This window comes from Homo sapiens, chromosome 1 (genome assembly GCF_000001405.40).
Source record: "Homo sapiens chromosome 1, GRCh38.p14 Primary Assembly".
NCBI classification, from domain to species: Eukaryota; Metazoa; Chordata; class Mammalia; order Primates; family Hominidae; genus Homo; species Homo sapiens.
In genome coordinates this window covers 177,268,688-177,284,866 of record NC_000001.11, presented here as the reverse complement: position 1 = coordinate 177,284,866, position 16,179 = coordinate 177,268,688, and the positions used below count along the sequence as shown (strand labels likewise).

General features: G+C 44.6%; 1 protein-coding gene across 3 annotated transcripts in view; it reads right to left on the bottom strand.

Moving 5' to 3' along the window:
- Window positions 1–2,444: 2,444 nt before the first annotated feature.
- BRINP2 (BMP/retinoic acid inducible neural specific 2) overlaps window positions 2,445–16,179 on the bottom strand; it is a 111,465-nt gene continuing 97,730 nt past the window's right edge. For all 3 annotated transcript variants that reach the window (XM_005245379.3, NM_021165.4, XM_024448722.2), the window contains 4 exons: window positions 11,274–11,379; window positions 8,433–8,669; window positions 6,082–6,304; window positions 2,445–4,455 (listed from right to left, as the gene is read on the bottom strand). In XM_005245379.3, the coding sequence (XP_005245436.1) occupies window positions 3,339–4,455; window positions 6,082–6,304; window positions 8,433–8,669; window positions 11,274–11,379 (1,683 nt within the window). In that variant the 3' untranslated portion in view covers window positions 2,445–3,338. The remainder of the gene's footprint in view (window positions 4,456–6,081; window positions 6,305–8,432; window positions 8,670–11,273; window positions 11,380–16,179) is intronic.

Genomic DNA, 16,179 nt, shown 5'->3' with positions numbered 1-16,179 from the left:
AAATATATTATTTAGTATTAGAGGTATTAGTCTCAAGCATTAGGGCAGATTAGCATTTGATGTATCGTTCTTTGGGGTTACAATTAAAACTTGAATTCCTAATTGTTATTATCCAATGCACGGTTGGAACTATATTGTGATTTTGCTCTTAATTCCACAATGAGTTCACCAACATTGACAATCCAGCACTAATTAATGACAATTCTTTATTTGCAACTGTGTCTGTGGATAGGTGGTTCACATATTTTGATTATTATGGACTTTAAAGGTGACAGTTTCAACTGAGGACAGCCTTTTCTTATTACGGCATTTCTTAGCCAAGCTTTCTGAAAAACTCTGTGCTAAACTCATGGTTTCAAGCCTTTGAAAGCCTCTTAAAGGATGCTACCCATCCCTTACACCCCCTCTTCTTCCACCTGTGTTCTAGAAGCAAAGTCTTTGGCCTGCTCCTTTGACACAAGTTCTTCTACACCAAGCACCCTATCACTGTCCCAGAACAGACAAATCAAACATCTATCACAGGTAACAGATGACTAGGTCAAATATAGACATTTCTACCTCTGTAATTCATATTGGTTAGGCCGTCTATCAATATGATACTTGCATCTGGAATCAAAGGCACCACTAAATATTTACCAATGTGTAGTAGTACTTTTAGATGGAGTTGGTACACTAAGCTTCATAGTTTAAACCTCCAGATAGGCAAGATATGGAAAGCTTAGTAAATGGATGCATATATTCCCTAGAACCACAATACATCACGCCATCATCTTCCTGAAAACCTCCCAAGACAAGAGATCTCATATCTCTGAAATAAAGAGACACAGCATCCTTACTAATAATTCCATAGGTGCGATTTTCTCCCAGTCTGGTTGCTGATACAAAGACAGAAGGCTGAGGTTTCCCATCCCTCACCACAACTGTGGGACTGGCCTAGGTGGGATGTGAGCCCTCATGTGATGACTCTGTTCCCACTGGGGCAGTCATGCTTGTGCTACTGAGGCTCCACACTGCTTTGTGCACTGTACATTCTCAATGGCTGTCCTCCCCACTCTGAGTATTGCTGTGCCTGGCAGTTGACAGTTTGCTAAAGGTGCACCTTTAATTAATGAGTAAGAGTCCCTGTCCATCCACTCCTACTGCCTGTAGACATACACTTTCAGAGTGCTAAAATCAGACTCTGGTATCTACCACTCAAACCCCATCACTGGAAGGTATCAAAGCCTTCCCACCACTTGTCAACCCCTTCCCACCAAAAGCATCCTCATCGGGTACATCTCAACACTCCTGCTGATGATGTCATCTGCCTATTCCATCTCCCATGGGTGAGGAGCTCTGTACAAACTTCCCAAAGCAAGCAGTGACTTTAACTAGAAATAGACAGCCAATAACCGTGCTCACCCCAGATCATCCTATCACTCTGTATTTCTACCCTGGAAGCCTTCAGGAAAGTGGTGAAGAAAGAAATGCCCCAGGCTGCTTATCTACCAAGGATTTCAGTTTCTTATACGTTGAAAGACCATGCAATGATTAAATATAATGTCAAATTCTTCTGCATGCAATAATAAACATAGAAGGCCCCTGGGCAGAGAGACATAATCATTGTCTCATTGTCTTCCATTTCACTTTATGCCAACTGAGATATACCACAGGTAGGAAATGAAATATTTCATATTTATGTGGTGACTCTCTCCTGAACAAAATGGGGGTTGTCATGCCTATGCATTGTGGTTGGAATGTGAAGCATAGACAAAGAAGTGATTCTCCAAAAGAGATGCTATGAAGTGATTCTCATACCACCTGGAGGGAGGCACTAGGAGAAAAGGATGCATTGTTCTGTGTTGTATACATCAAAGCTGCTATTTGGGTTGGGAATGTGGTAATCAGACAGAATGGAGGGAGCCGATGCTACATTTCTGTCTTTCCCAATTTTCTCAAAGGGTGATCCCAGATCATAAGATGCAGCATATGGGAAATTCTCCTAATGTCTGCAGCAGTGTCGACAAAGAGGAGCCCCTTTAGCAGGACTTTGCCCAGTGCAAAGACTGCAGTTCCTCTTACGAGCAAGACCTTTTTAACTATTCTCCCCATGTGGGAAATCCTGGTTTTAGGACCCATGTTAGCCCTCACACCCAGGGAGAAAAAAAAGGTGATGGGAGTGTAGTGAGATAACTCTGGGATAGTACTACCTCGCTTCTCATTTAACCTCTCTCTCTCATACACCCCTCACAGCCCAGTCAACACAGGCACTCATTCACTTGTGTAACTTGTGTATCTGTCAATCAACCAGCTTCCCACACAGTACTATCCCCGCTTCATGGACACTCTTGTGTCATGCAAATAGCAATTAAAAAGAAAAATCCAGGTAACCCAGGGGACTATACTCTCTTTTTTTTTTTCTTTTTTCTCTCATTTTTCCCCCTAAAAAAGGCCTTTTCCAAAAATATATTAAACCAGATAAATGTTTACTTAGATGTTCAGGTGGTTGGAGCAGATTAACAAGGAAAACAATCACAAAATAAATAGTTTTGTTTTGTTTTTGTTATTTTTTTTTAAAAAAGAACATTTCCTACACATTGTCTCTCTCTAACTTGACAGAGCTTCTTTCTTCGACAGAGAGATGCTGTTGGAAAGGAGCTCTGAAGGGACCACAATGGGAACTGGGAACAATCCAGGGCCCTGAAACTTGGTGGGGGGAGGAGGCAGCAGAGGGAGGAGTAAGGGAGGGGAGCAAGGAGGCCGCTGCCTGCCCTTGGCGCTGGTTCCTGTTGGTTGTACTTCTTGTGTTTCCCAGTCAGCGTCTGGGAGGGCACAGAGGAGGCAGCATACAAAAGTAAGAACCAATGTCAGGATTCACAAAACAACAACATTTTAAGAAATCTGGTTAAAAAGAATACAAAAGTGACTCCACAGAGGGGAAGGAAGAGCTCCGACCCCTCCCATTGTTGTCCCCTCTTGCTTTCTTGAATGACAAGAATCACTTTTAGGATTTTTGTTTGTTTCATGGTTCAGCTGGTTCTTTTTCTTAATCTCTTCCTTGGCTCCTTTCTTTCAATTGCATTCATTTTAGAAAGCACCAATCAACTTTACAGATCTGAGGCTGCTTAGTTGTAGCCTCCCTGTGCCAGTGTGTGTGTGTGTGTGTGTATGCGTGCGCGCACGCACGCAGTAGCTGTTTCTCTCTCGCCTGCTTCAGCTCGAGCCTCGAGGTCCCATCTACTGGATGCTGAAAGTCTCGTGGGAGCACACCCTGTTGGCACTAAGGTGAGGGCTTAGATTATCTTTGTACCCCAGATTCATGGATCCCCTCCTTGCCCAGTGCTGAAGTGGGCCGCCCATTAGCTACAGAGTTTGCCGGTCTCATATTCCACAGGGTTTGGCAGCTTAGAATTGAAAGCCCTCAGGGAGGACTGGATCCTGCCCACCTCATTGTTGGCCAGCTTAAGCCGATGCCGGAGCAAGCAGGAGAAAAGGTCAAGTCGGACTTTGCCAGGTGGAGAAAGCTGGTTCACCCGGTCCCTGAGCTCAATGAGCTGCAAGAGTGCAGAGTCCTGGGAACCTTGAGTATATGGGTAGTCCAACTGGAGAATTAAGTCCCGGATAGCATCTGGGTCAAAGGGCAGGCTGTAGCCAAAGACCTGCAAGGTGTTAATTTTCATGTAACCCAAATTCTTAGAGGGATCAGTCATCTCCAGGGGCTCATAGTAGATTGTCTCATTGGAGCTGTCATCCAGGGACTTGATTCGGCTCCGTAGGTAAACATGAACTGTCTCAAAGAAAGTCTTCCACCTATTCCCCAAGGTGATAGTCCAGTTTTGGCACTGGGCAGCTGCATCCACGTTAGTCCTTTCCCAGTCAGGAAAGCTGCCCTCATTCACAGGCATGAACCAGCTCTCAGAGTGGCTGCCCCCAAAGGGGTTGACGTAGATGGCCATGACAGGCTCCAGGGTGCTGTTCTTGGTGAGACAGATCTGCAAGGACAAGGCCAACATCACGTGCACCAGCCCAGGCTTGTACTTGTTGCTCTTCAGGGTGAGCAGCATGCGCTTCCTCCAGGAAGGGTCAAACCAGCTGCCCAGCCGCATGTCATTGCTGATGAAGATGGAGTGTACCTCAATGCGGCTATCCTGCTTCTGCAGCAGGTACTTTAGCTCCAGGTCCTGCAAGTCTGTCTCCAGCCCAAGAAAGTTTTCCAGGGACTCGGCCACCTCTGGCCGGCACAGCCCCTGGGCCAGCACATAGCCCGGGTTGCAGCTCCCACAGCGTGTGCTATTGTCTGGAGCACAGTGGGCACACGCGGGCCCTTCGCCCAAGGCACATGGGATGGGGCCCTGGCAGGAAGATTGGTCATAGGGGCAGGTGCAGCTGTGGCTCTGTTCCAGGAAAGTGCCAGGAAAGGTGCTTTCCCCACAGTAGAGGAGGGACTGGATTCGGTTCCACCAGTAGGACAAGGACCTTGGGGAGCAGAGATAAAATGAAGTAAGAGTCAAAAGAAGTCACACACTGACACCCTTCTTAAGGGCAGCAAGACATTGACCACTAGGCGTGGAAGGCAATGAGGAAAATAAAATCCCCAAGATCTCTGAGTGGCAGAAACTCTACTTTGCTACTTTGGACTGATTGAGCAAAGCCTAGAGCTCTGTGTCTGATGGGTCAGCACCAGAAATACTGGACACCAAATTTGTACTGAGAGCAACAAGGCTCATCTCTCCCAAGTCCTACTTCATTCCCTTATTCAAAAACCTACAGAGGATCTCCAGCATCTTTTGTGTCAAATCTGTTTTCAGCCTTCTAAATAAGATGGTTCTTCAAATCTTCTAACTTCTTGCCAACTTCCATTCCCTCTTCAAGGTTTCTGTCCTTTCTATTCTCTCTGCTCCTCTCACTCCTCCACCAAGAACAGAAATTTTATATGGCTGATTCTCTTAAAATTTTGATTTTAGCTCTTATGTTACCTCTTCAAAGAAGTCTTTCCTGATGTCCCTGCCGAAAGAACCACCACACTCATTCTCCATCACGTAACCCTGTTTTATTCAATCCATGAAAATTATCAGTAGCTGAAATTATTTATTTATTGTTTACTTGTTTATAAACGGCTTCCCTGTTAGTAAATACCATGAAAGAAGGAACACTGTCTTGAGACCAACAGCTTCTCAGAAATGAGAATTGTTTCTGTGCATGGTAAGCCTTTAATCATTATTTGTTGAAAGAAGAATAAATGAACTCCTCTCAAAACCACTTCTTCGTATGCTTCTCTTCTTACCTGTGCCTCTGATAGAGCTGTACCACTGGGTTGCTGGCCGTGAAGGCAGCTCCTTTGCCTGGAAGACTGTCCTACCTCACATGTACCAGATCATTTCCCTCTCTTCCCACAAAATGTGGCCAAGATTTTCTTCTCCAAGGAAGCTTTCATTTCTGGTTTTACCTCTAGGAGACTATCCGTTTGATTTATGTTCTACCACCATAAATTTAAGTGGTTGCCACATAGTTATAATTTTCTAGTTTTTATGTTTCTGTTTGTTAAATCTTTCCAATTCATGAATACCCCTGCAGCTTAATAGTAAGGCATGGAATACGGATTCAAAAACTTGTTAAATAAATAAATGAATCAGTGGATGAACAAGTGGATACTTGTAATGATACAGCCCCACTGTATCCCTGAGGGTGCAGGTCTCCACTTTTTTTCCTCCTGTGACCCAGAGCAGAATCATTTGTTTGACACAAGCCAGTGTGTGTGTTTTTCATCAGATGCAATTGCTGGATGAAATTTAACTCCATCCCTTTTTTTCTAAGACTTATTAAAATGGAAATCAGTAAATGAGAATTAGAGTATTACTAGAATAACATTTGAATCAACTATAATTTAGATAATAGTAAAATCAGCCCATCTTTTTTTCTCTCTCTCACTTCAGACGCAACTCACAGCTGAGAATGACACACATGAGTAGGTCAAGATAACTGGAAGGCTATGTGTGAGTCACCACTCCCTGATCCCCTACATTGGACAGAGGGTTCTCCTTGGCCTCAGCAGCTGTCAGGGGAGGTGCTGAGCTCTGGCTGTAGCAGCCAGGGGGTGCTCACCTCTCCTTGGGCAGGCGGAAGCGAGGCTGGCGATGGCAGCGCTTGCAGAGGTTGAAGAGCCGGCGTAGGATCCGATGGGTCTTTTTGAACAGCACTTTCAAGCCAGCTCCCAGCTGCTGGTAGCGGTGCTGAAGGCTGGTGTCCATGGCCCAGAACTGGGAGATAGCTGTGGAGTTCAGGAACCGGTCATCGGGCAGCCTTTTCAGCAGGGCCTGGAACTCTTCTGTGGACAAGAACACAGGACCTGAGCTGACGGGTAGCTATGCAGAACTCTGGTAGGGGCAAGTGGACGCTGCCCAGATCCAGGGCCCTTCAAAGTTACTGCATGAGAAAGGAGGCTGCACACCCATTTCCCTGGGTGCTTTTTTAAAAAAATCAACACCTTTATTGAGAAATAATTAACATGTTGTAAAATATGGCCTCGGGAACTTTCTCATCTTTTCTACTCCTATGCCTCTGAATTTCAAAACAGATCTCTGCCACCCTCAGAGGGGCCAGAGTTCCTGCTATTGCTAATGACCTTGGATGCATCTCTTTCCCCCTTTATACTTCCTTCTAAGACATCCACAACACTATCTCAAGGCCAATCCTCTTCAATAACACCACAAAACCCATATGGAACATGTGGGGCCCTCATGAAGGTGAGTGTGCACCCAGACTGGCACATGTGGGCACAGAGGAGATGCAGCACCCAGCTCAGAAATCTTTCTATAAATCCTCCAGTCCCTGAGACCAGCCTCTCCCACCCATGTCCTCCTCTCTGACTAAGATACTCTTCTTCTCTTTTCAGCTTCAGCTCTTGGACAGATATCCATTCTGCCCTACAGCAAATTTAGAAGCAACCTGCCTTCTGCTTCTAAGCTCCTGCTGAGTCTAGGTTCTCCTTAGAGCTTCCTGGGCACACCATGGCTTCTGAACTCATGCTCAGGTTTCTGTGCATTGCTCTGCTTTTCCTTGGGACCTGCAGCTACCAGGTCTCCTGGTAGAGGTCTAGAGAGCCCTGATTTATTCATCAGCAGTAACTCATAGTAGTAAAGGCCCAAAGTCATGTTATGGACCATAACCCACCACCATAGCCCAAAGCATGAGCCTGGGGACTGGAATGTGATATTCTCCTTCGCTACCGAATGCCTTGTCCAGGACTTAAAATGGCAACCCCTGGGGCCTCAGCTCATTTTGATTTCTCATGTACCTGGTTCCTCATCTCCTCAGAAGATTGGAGAATCATGCCTAGTAATGGCACTAACATCTAGTATGTGCATAGGTAAAACATTTGAGTGTATGGAAGAGCATGCAGAGCAAAAAGACAAATCCCATGTGTCTGCCATTAGTTTTTGCCATTTTGCCATATTGGCTTCAGATTTTTTTTTCTTTAAGAAATAAAGCAAACCAAATATACTGCATGTGAGGGCCCTAAACTTCCCTTTCTCTCTATCCAGATGTAACCACTCTCTTGATGTCTTCTTTTCCATTATCACATATTTTTTATTTTTCAACAAATGTAGTTATCCATAAAAATACCATGTATTGGGTATCCTGTTTGTAAACATTATATAAATAGTATTACATATGTATTATACTTAATAAATTATAGTATTATATGAAGACATTATATAAATATATATATAATGTAACCTTTTTGTCTTGCTTTGTTTTATTCAACATCATGTTTTTGAACTATATCCACATAAATATCATTCATTTAGTGTTGAAATGTGCAAATATACCATGCAGAGTTCTTTATACATTGAGCATCTACATGATCTCATGTGAGCCTTCCATTCACTATTATCACTCTCCCTCTTTTTCAGATGAGGAAACTCGAGACCTTGAGAAGCTGCACGGCTAATCCAAGGTCATAAAGCTTGTCAAACCAGGCAAGGATGCAAAACCAGTTCTCTTGAATCTAGGTCTCAAGGTAACTGATATTAGCTTTAACAGCAACAAACAACAACTGAATTGTATTGGATGTCATCTAGAACCATTCTATGCACTTCATTGATTCAACAGATATTTATAGCGAACCTTATGTGCAAGCATTGCTCTAGGCACTGTGGAAGCAGTAGCAAAAAAGACAAACAAGGTCTGTGCCCTTAATTATGTTTATCTTTGTTTATTAAGTCCTTAAAACACACCTATGTAAATGGACATAATACCAATGTCCTAGAAAAAAATGAAACCACTTGAGCCTCAGGGTGGTGATATAACCTGCTTGAGGTCACAGACACAATTAAGTGGTCATGTCAGGATCCCCATGAGGATCCTCAACTCTCAAGTTTTGTTCTCCCCATGTTCTTGCTCTGTACCTCACAGCCACCTCTCATTGACAGGGAGGAATTCTGGCTGCTCACCTGACTCTTCAAACTGCCGGTTGTGAGTGGCCCAGGAGTCCTGGATCTGCAGCAGGCTGTCCTCCATGGCCTGGATGTCAGCATCAGGGCAGTTGCATTCAGGGAAGGTGGGGCTGCACTTGCACCAGCAGTCATTCTCCTTGCAGACGAGCTCACCCTCAGAGCTGCATGTGATGTAGCTGAGTGCTGCAGCTACAAAGCGCTCACGCAGATACTCAGGCAGCAGCACCTGAAGGCCTGGGGAAAGGATGTGTCAAGGAATCTCTGGGAAGAACCAGTGAGGACTCAGTTTCCCATGCCCAAGCCTGCAGGAATCCCAGCTGGAGTTCTGCTGACTTGTGCATCCTGGGCCCAAGCATGGGCACCACAGGGCCTAATCCTGCTGAGCTGGTTGGGGGAGAAGGCTACTACTGCCCCAGTGACAGATGGGGGAGGATCTGAAAATGCAGATGGGAAAATCAAAGCCCAAGGCTTAGCTAAACCCCTCAGATCAGCCAAATTGAGAGCGTGCATATCATAAGAACAGGCTTATTGGCTACACATCAGCATTTCTGGGATGGAAACAGGAAGATGTTTCAGATAAAAGAAGAGCTTACAGCCCTCTTGGGTGAGAAAACAAGGTTTGATGGGCTTTTTGCCCTGCCTCCTGTAGCCATCCTGTTTATAGCTTAACTGAGATTAGCAGTAGGCATCCTAGGACATTATTGAATTCTGACCCTTCTGGGCCTCCCCACCCTAGCTCTGATGACCAAGGAAGCTGTCCTGGTTAAGAGATAGGAACAGATATTGTGGGGATACAGTGCCCAGGTACTATGTTGAGTACTTTTTATATATGATTGCAAATAACATTTGTGCTCATATTGAGGTTTTTATAGGTAAGGAAATCCAAGTCCTAAGACCACAGTGACCTGCCCAAATCACAGCATTCATAGAATCTGCTTAGTGTCAGATCCTGCCCTTGTCTCATCAGCTAATACTATATAACTGGGACTGGCTGTCCTATTTCAATAGGATTTAACTCTGAAGAAGATTTGAAGGTGGGATGGTGGTCAATGCCCTGAGATCAGTCATGCCTGGATAGATATGAATGGCTCTCAGCTCTCTTCCAATTAACTTCTGATCTTGGATAGAATGCACTAAATTGCTCTGAGCTTCAGTTTTCTCACCCAACTGCAGTAACTACCAGTTTACCTACAGCAGAACATACTCCTAGTTGGCTTCAAGCCACTCACAAGGCGGCTGCTGGAAGCTTACCAAAGGATGAACAAAGGGTAGGCATGCCTTTGGATGCAGTCTGGGCCACGTTCGAGGTCAGATCTGCAGGAGGCTCCCCAGTAGCGACACTGTGAGACCTTGTGCCAGGAAAGTGAGGAATATGAGAACTTCTGGATATGGTGAGCTCCTCTTTCCTCAAACGTCTGCCAGCTCTTTATTTTTAGGCCCTTGACCTTGTCCTTGGCAGGAAACCAGAGAACTCAAAGTATGTATCCCAGTCTCAGCAGACCTCAAAATATAACTTAAAATTGCTAGCAGCAGTGGGTGTTTGTTGTTCTTTCTTGAGGTCTACCTCCAATTCTGTACTGCCCCTAAATTTTCCTTCCTTGGCACTGTGCCTACTGTGGCATTTGAGTGGTTCCCCTCACACACCCAATCCACATGCTTGCTTTCAACACTCACCCTCTCCAAGTCCTTTCATTTCACCTCCCCCATCACTTCCCTCCTCCTCACCAGAACACTTCCCATGCTATAAAATCAGTGCCCCGACAAATGTCTGCATGAGTGTTGGGGTATAAAATTAAATAGCATAAACTATTCCAAATGAACAACTAGACATTTTGAACTTCACTCACTGCTACTTTCCAGACACAAACCCAGCCCATCCAGGGACATCAGTGAAGAGGAATGCTAATTGCCTTAGGTAGCTCTAAATAAACGAGTTTTTAGTCCTCTTTCTTATATATTTCTTAATTCCTAAAGCATTGCTGGGTCGCATTTGACTCAGGTTGCCTGGAATTTGTAATCGTAGATCCTGAGTGAGGGTTATTGATTTTGTAATGCTGAGACAATAATATCTTAAACAGAGTACAATTCAGTTAGGCCTTGAGAAAAATAAAGTTTTCCCACTGAATCAGTTTGCATAGCCCTGCCCCCAGGATGCCTGCAGGGAACAGACAGCAAGAGATGCACGTCTCCCCTTAGCCCTCAGCCTCCAGGGTTAGTGTGGTTTTCTTTCCTTTATCTTTCACAGTTTTGCTTGTTCTGTCTCAGATCAAAAGTCTTATTCTTCTCAAACTCATCTCCTGACTTTGAATTGCCCATGTGCAAGATCACAGACAAATAACAGAAAGCAGGGGCCACCTTCAAACTGTGGTTCCAGTAAGTAGTGGTCCCCCACTTTGTACAGATCTTAGTTGAGCTGGAGATGGTAGTCTTCTAACCACTCTGTAAAGGCCAGCTATTACTCAATGTGTCTTTAGGATAAAGCAGAGGGTTTTCTGGGAAATGAAGATCGTTGAACTAGGTAAAGGCTTCTTATAAGGATGGGTATGCTGTTTCTTATAGGATTGTGACAGAGGACTTGAGATGGAATGTGAAGTGGGATGATTGAGGTGTCATGTGATATAAGCAATGGGTCTGGGGTATAGGACAAACCATACCAGAAGGTTTCTTAAAACATGATGGAAAGTTGTTAAATACAGGTTCCAGAACTTGTGGTAGTTCTTGTCTTAAGAAAGGTTTGATCAAATGGAACAGGCAGAATTTTTTCCCGCTATTTGATCTAGGAATTTTTTTTTTTAAATCAGGTGTGAAAGGTATGAAAACCATCATAGTGCTGCTTACCAAGTAACTGTACTTTGTTCTCTGGACTCTGTACCAAGACAGAACTGACTGAGTCCAGATTGTCATAGTTGCTGCAGCCCAGAGGACCGGTCCTGGTCTCGGTGACCTAGAGAAGGAAGGAGTAGGGAGTGGGTTTAGATAACAAGTGGAGACTCCCTTTATACTTCCCTTCTCCAGCTGCTCCATCTCAGGTTCCACATCCTGTCCTTGACCAGCTGTAGAAGTGATACGTCCCTTTTCGTACTCCAGAGGTATAAAGTCACTTTCTTCCTTGGCCTGAGGCAGTGAGTATCTGTTACATATAGCTGGCAGCAGCAGTTATATATAAGTAAGAGCCTTTCAGAGAGAGCTAAAGGGAATTTGTGTCTGGAAAGGCGGAGAATGCTGGAGAAGGAGTGAAACCTTAAGCTCTAGTCACCCCTTCTCCCTCCAGAGGAAGGCAAGAGGCCATATGTGGTCCCTGTCAGCCTGCTGGAAAGCCCAGCTGCATCCACTTGATGTGGTACTCACAGACTTTACGGATCCTAAAGATGAAAAGCACTAGAGAAATATGAGTTATGAGTATTAGTATTAGTATTAAACATTTAAGTCCCACCTCGGCACTGAGACATCCTTAGAGAAAATCAGCTATGGGCTTACTGCATATTTTAATAAGTATATTAAATATACATAAACTCTTATAGCCATGTAATATTTCAAAACACCATAGAGTCATTTAAAAATATTATAAAGTTGGCCCATCAGTTTTCCCTGATGTTTAAAGTATAAGATGAAAAATGGGAAGCTTTAAATGCACTAAAATAATTATGTAATAAGAATGATGGGGACCTGCGGCCCTTTCTCAGGATCTCTGAAGTCTTTGCCAACAATCAATCAACAAGTATTTATTGAGCAGCCACTGTTTAATTCCATACAATTCTTCAAACATTTATAGTGCACCTTTCCTGAAGTTAATCGTGAAGCCCACTCTGATACCTCTGACGTCCTCTTCTGGCTTCAGGCCCCCCTGCTTTGCAGCAGGCACAGGAGTTGCAGTTTTGCATCCCTTTCTGCAAGTATGTGATCCATGTCTGAATCCTACACTCTATAGGCTCCAAAGAGGGAAGCTCATATTTATTTTGCTCACCATGTTGTCGACAGCAATTAACACAGTTTCTGGCACACAGTAGGTACTCAATAAACAAGAGAATGCATGTATAATACATTCCAGGCTTTTCAGGGTAGGGAGGTGTGTGCAACAATGTACACATTGTGTACTGCATCCTCCAGGAGATCACACCCTGTGGGGCAGGTAGGTGCATACACAGCTGACTGATAGACATCCAAGTCACAGTAGAAGCCCACATCATGATGAGCTCTAAGGAAGCACAGCTCTAAACAAAGGGAAACAAGAGAGGAAGTAGCAGAAGAGGCACCATCTGTGTTGGTTCCTAAGGAGAAGTAGGGAGTGGACAGGTGGGAAGAGAGGAAATGTACTACAAGGAAAAGGAGAAGGGACAGTGTGATCTCTGCAGCACACAGCTTGGAAGTGCATAGTGCATGTGTCTAGCACCCTGCCTTGTTACCATGGTGAATATGAAAGTGTAAGGGACATTCTTCAAGGGAGTTTAGTAGACCTAGGTTTAAAAAATACACATGGAGCAGAGTGATAAAGTGAGAGATTGTGTGATGCTGAGCAAAAACAGTCGGGAGAGAGGCAGGAAGGATTCCTGTAGCTTGAAGTAGTCCACGAAGGCTTTATGAAGGAAGTAAGCCATGAATTCATTTTCAAGAATGAGTAGGGGTGGCAGGGAAGGGAGGGGAAATTGAATAAAGAAAGGTATTTCTTTTGTGCTACCCCACACAAATACCAAGGGGTAGCAATAGACACAGAGCATGAGAGGCAGCAGGGAGAACTAGACCGAGGCCACGCCAGGGGCAGGGACAGCTTCTCTACAGTTTTCCAAATTCTTCCTCCAAGAGCATCCCACTTAACTTTCCCAAGAACTCTCTGGGACAAATCTCATTACTATCACTCTCCAAGGAGGAAAGTAAGGTTCAGAGTTACAGTCCTTGAGACCACAGAGCTGTTGAGTAGCAGAAACAGGATTCTAACTTTAGAGTCCTCAGACTCCAGTTCAATACCTTTTTGTCTCCTGAGCAGGTAGGTCAAAGGACTGCAGAAAATAGAGTCTAAACCCTTTACATGCCATCACTGTCAAACACAAGTATTCTAAACAGACCAGTCCACCCAACATATTTTAGTGATCTCTTCTCTCCTCAGAATGTTAACATTGAGCAAAACAAATTGTACTGACTTCAGATCAATTTGATTATCCTTACAATGCAGATTAGGAAACCAAGGCTCAGATAAGTTAAATGACTTATTCCAGGTCATACAGTCACCTGCAAGGATAAGATTTATTTGGTTCACTCATTCATTCTTTTATTTACTCATTTGCTCATTTAACAAATATTCAAGGAGCATTTGGAACTCGCAGATGAATAAGACATAGTCATGGCCAGTAAGGAGCTTAGAGACAAGTGGAAATGTACTTAAACAACCCCAGTGTTCTGGCTGTTACACATGAGCCTGCCTCCCTCCACATGTGGACACAGGTGCTGAATCATGTTTCTTTATTGGGTGAGTGGGTGATTGGCTACTGGTCAGACTGGACTGGGGAAGCAGAGGCAGCCTCATTTCAAGGTGAAGTCTTCACTTTCTATATAGTGTTGAATTCCCCATATGAAGAGCCATGGCCAATAACTGTCCCAGCTACTCTGGGGAAGTTTGCCCCTCTAGGGTAGGGTGGGCTGAAGGACAGAGGTGGGACACAGGGGTATGGTATTTGGAGGCTTGCCTGTCCCTGCCTACAGGTAAGCTGCCCACTCCGTCGTCATTGGGTTTTTCACTGGCTTTTCCATCCACTTACTCCTGACTTGGTCACTCACCAACCAGGTCCAGGAAAGAAGGAAGCTAACAAGCCTTAAGTGGGAATAAGATGTGACCCAAAGAGGAGGACAGGCTAGAGAATAGCCACAATAGGAGCTTTCCTTTCCCCCCACTTCTCCCTCCCCCATCCCTGCCTGCCACCAATGCATCTGCTTCCCGCCCCCCACCATCATCTTGTTCATCATGCTGGGCTATCTTTGATGCAATTTTCTGACCTTTACTCTGCTGTTCTAAAGGTCAGTCCCACAAGAGGACAATCAATTAGGTAAGTCATTAAAAGGGTGTGAGTAACTTCACTTTAATTGTGGCACAAGGATGGGAATTAGGAGACAAAGACCATGATCCTCATGCTCATTTCCTGTTAGAGTGAAAAACCCACAGAGTGAGAAAGGCCCACTCAAGTTTCACTAGTTTCCAGAGTCATAGTGCTTTTCATTGCTATTCTGCTCTGACACACTGTCTTCTCCCTTCAGAAGTAAAGGAGGTGAAAAGAATAGAGGGAGCTGGAGAGGGTCCCATTGCAGTTATTGCCTGAGTACTGACTTGAGTAAGCAGAATAGCTTGAGAACCACCCCCCCCACCCCTTGCCCCAAAGTGAGGAAAACCTCAGCATCTCTGGAGGGTTGTTCAAGAGAATCCTGCACTTTTCTTTGTAGAAGAGGCAGACAGCTTTGGCAGATTATAAAGAGAGCCTATACAGGTAATGGAGAGTGCAGTTCACTCAGGCACACACTGTTCAAAGAATGCCTCAGATAAGCTTTCAGAAAGAGCTAATAATTGTGTGCTAATTGGTCTGTTGACAGAGACCATCCTGCCTTGAGAAAGCCCTGATGGATCTCAGGTTCATTAGCACTTCCAATTTTCCATAAATACCAGATCATGCAAACCCTCATTCCAGCCAGTCTGCTCTCCCCACCCTCCACCGTCCACTTTCAGGCTGCTCTTGTCCTACCTAAGGGGACACCTGCAAACTAAGAGCAGAGTGAAATGGGCTTCTAATTGTGAGCAATCAGAGGGATGGGAGAACAGAGCTGATGGTGTACGTGCTTTAAAAAGCTGCAAATTGAATCCCAGGCTGCTGCAGTGAGGAATTCGGACAAGTCACTTTTAAGGAGGTTTTGTGAGAAACTCTTTTTCCATCCTGGGGTCCACCTGAACTTTTGTGTGAACTCCCTTCAGTCAGCTTGTGAGCATGTCAAGCCCTCCCCACCAAGTCCTTCCTCAGCCTTCAACTAAATAGAGGGTGAGCTGTAATTTAGAAACAAGCTCCTTCCCTTCTTTGTGGCTCTAATCCCTTCTGGGGAATTATGGACAGGATGTCTATGTATACAACCCTTCACAGTGTGCAAAGTGCTTGCTGTGCTCTGTATCATTTGGTGATACCCCAACCCTATGGCAGAGCCAAGAGTGATATTCACAGTATTTATCAGCAGGTAGAACAGAAGCACATTAACTCATCAGAAGGGATGGCAGCCCTAGTGCCAGGGCAGGGCTCTAGAGGCCTCCTCAGGTATACTCTCCCTTTGGTTACCATCAAAAGGAAATCCGGGGGCTGCAGGGGAGGAGTATATGTGGTTAGGGTAGTACATGGGGGTTGGAGTGAAGACTATTCACTGGCTGTATAGAAGTGTTTCAATATTTTAAAAACTGATGTAACCACATCAGCTGAATGTAAGCCCTGTGTGCAGGTGAGTCAGATAGTTGGTAATATGCATCGTGGATGACAGAAATAGAGTTCAATGACTTCTCAAGGTCATAGAAATAGACAGCATCAAGGCCAAAACCAATCCCGTCTTCTTAGTTGAGTAAGTTTGTTTCCCACTAAACCATGTAAGTCTGCCTTCACCTCTCAAGTATTTTATGAAAAATCTTGCCACATGCCAGACAATACTCTAAAGGGACCTGGAGCTGTGTACCTGCCACAGAGTCTCTGCTGCTCTAAGACCTAGTGTCTTGGTGAGTGTATGTGTCAGG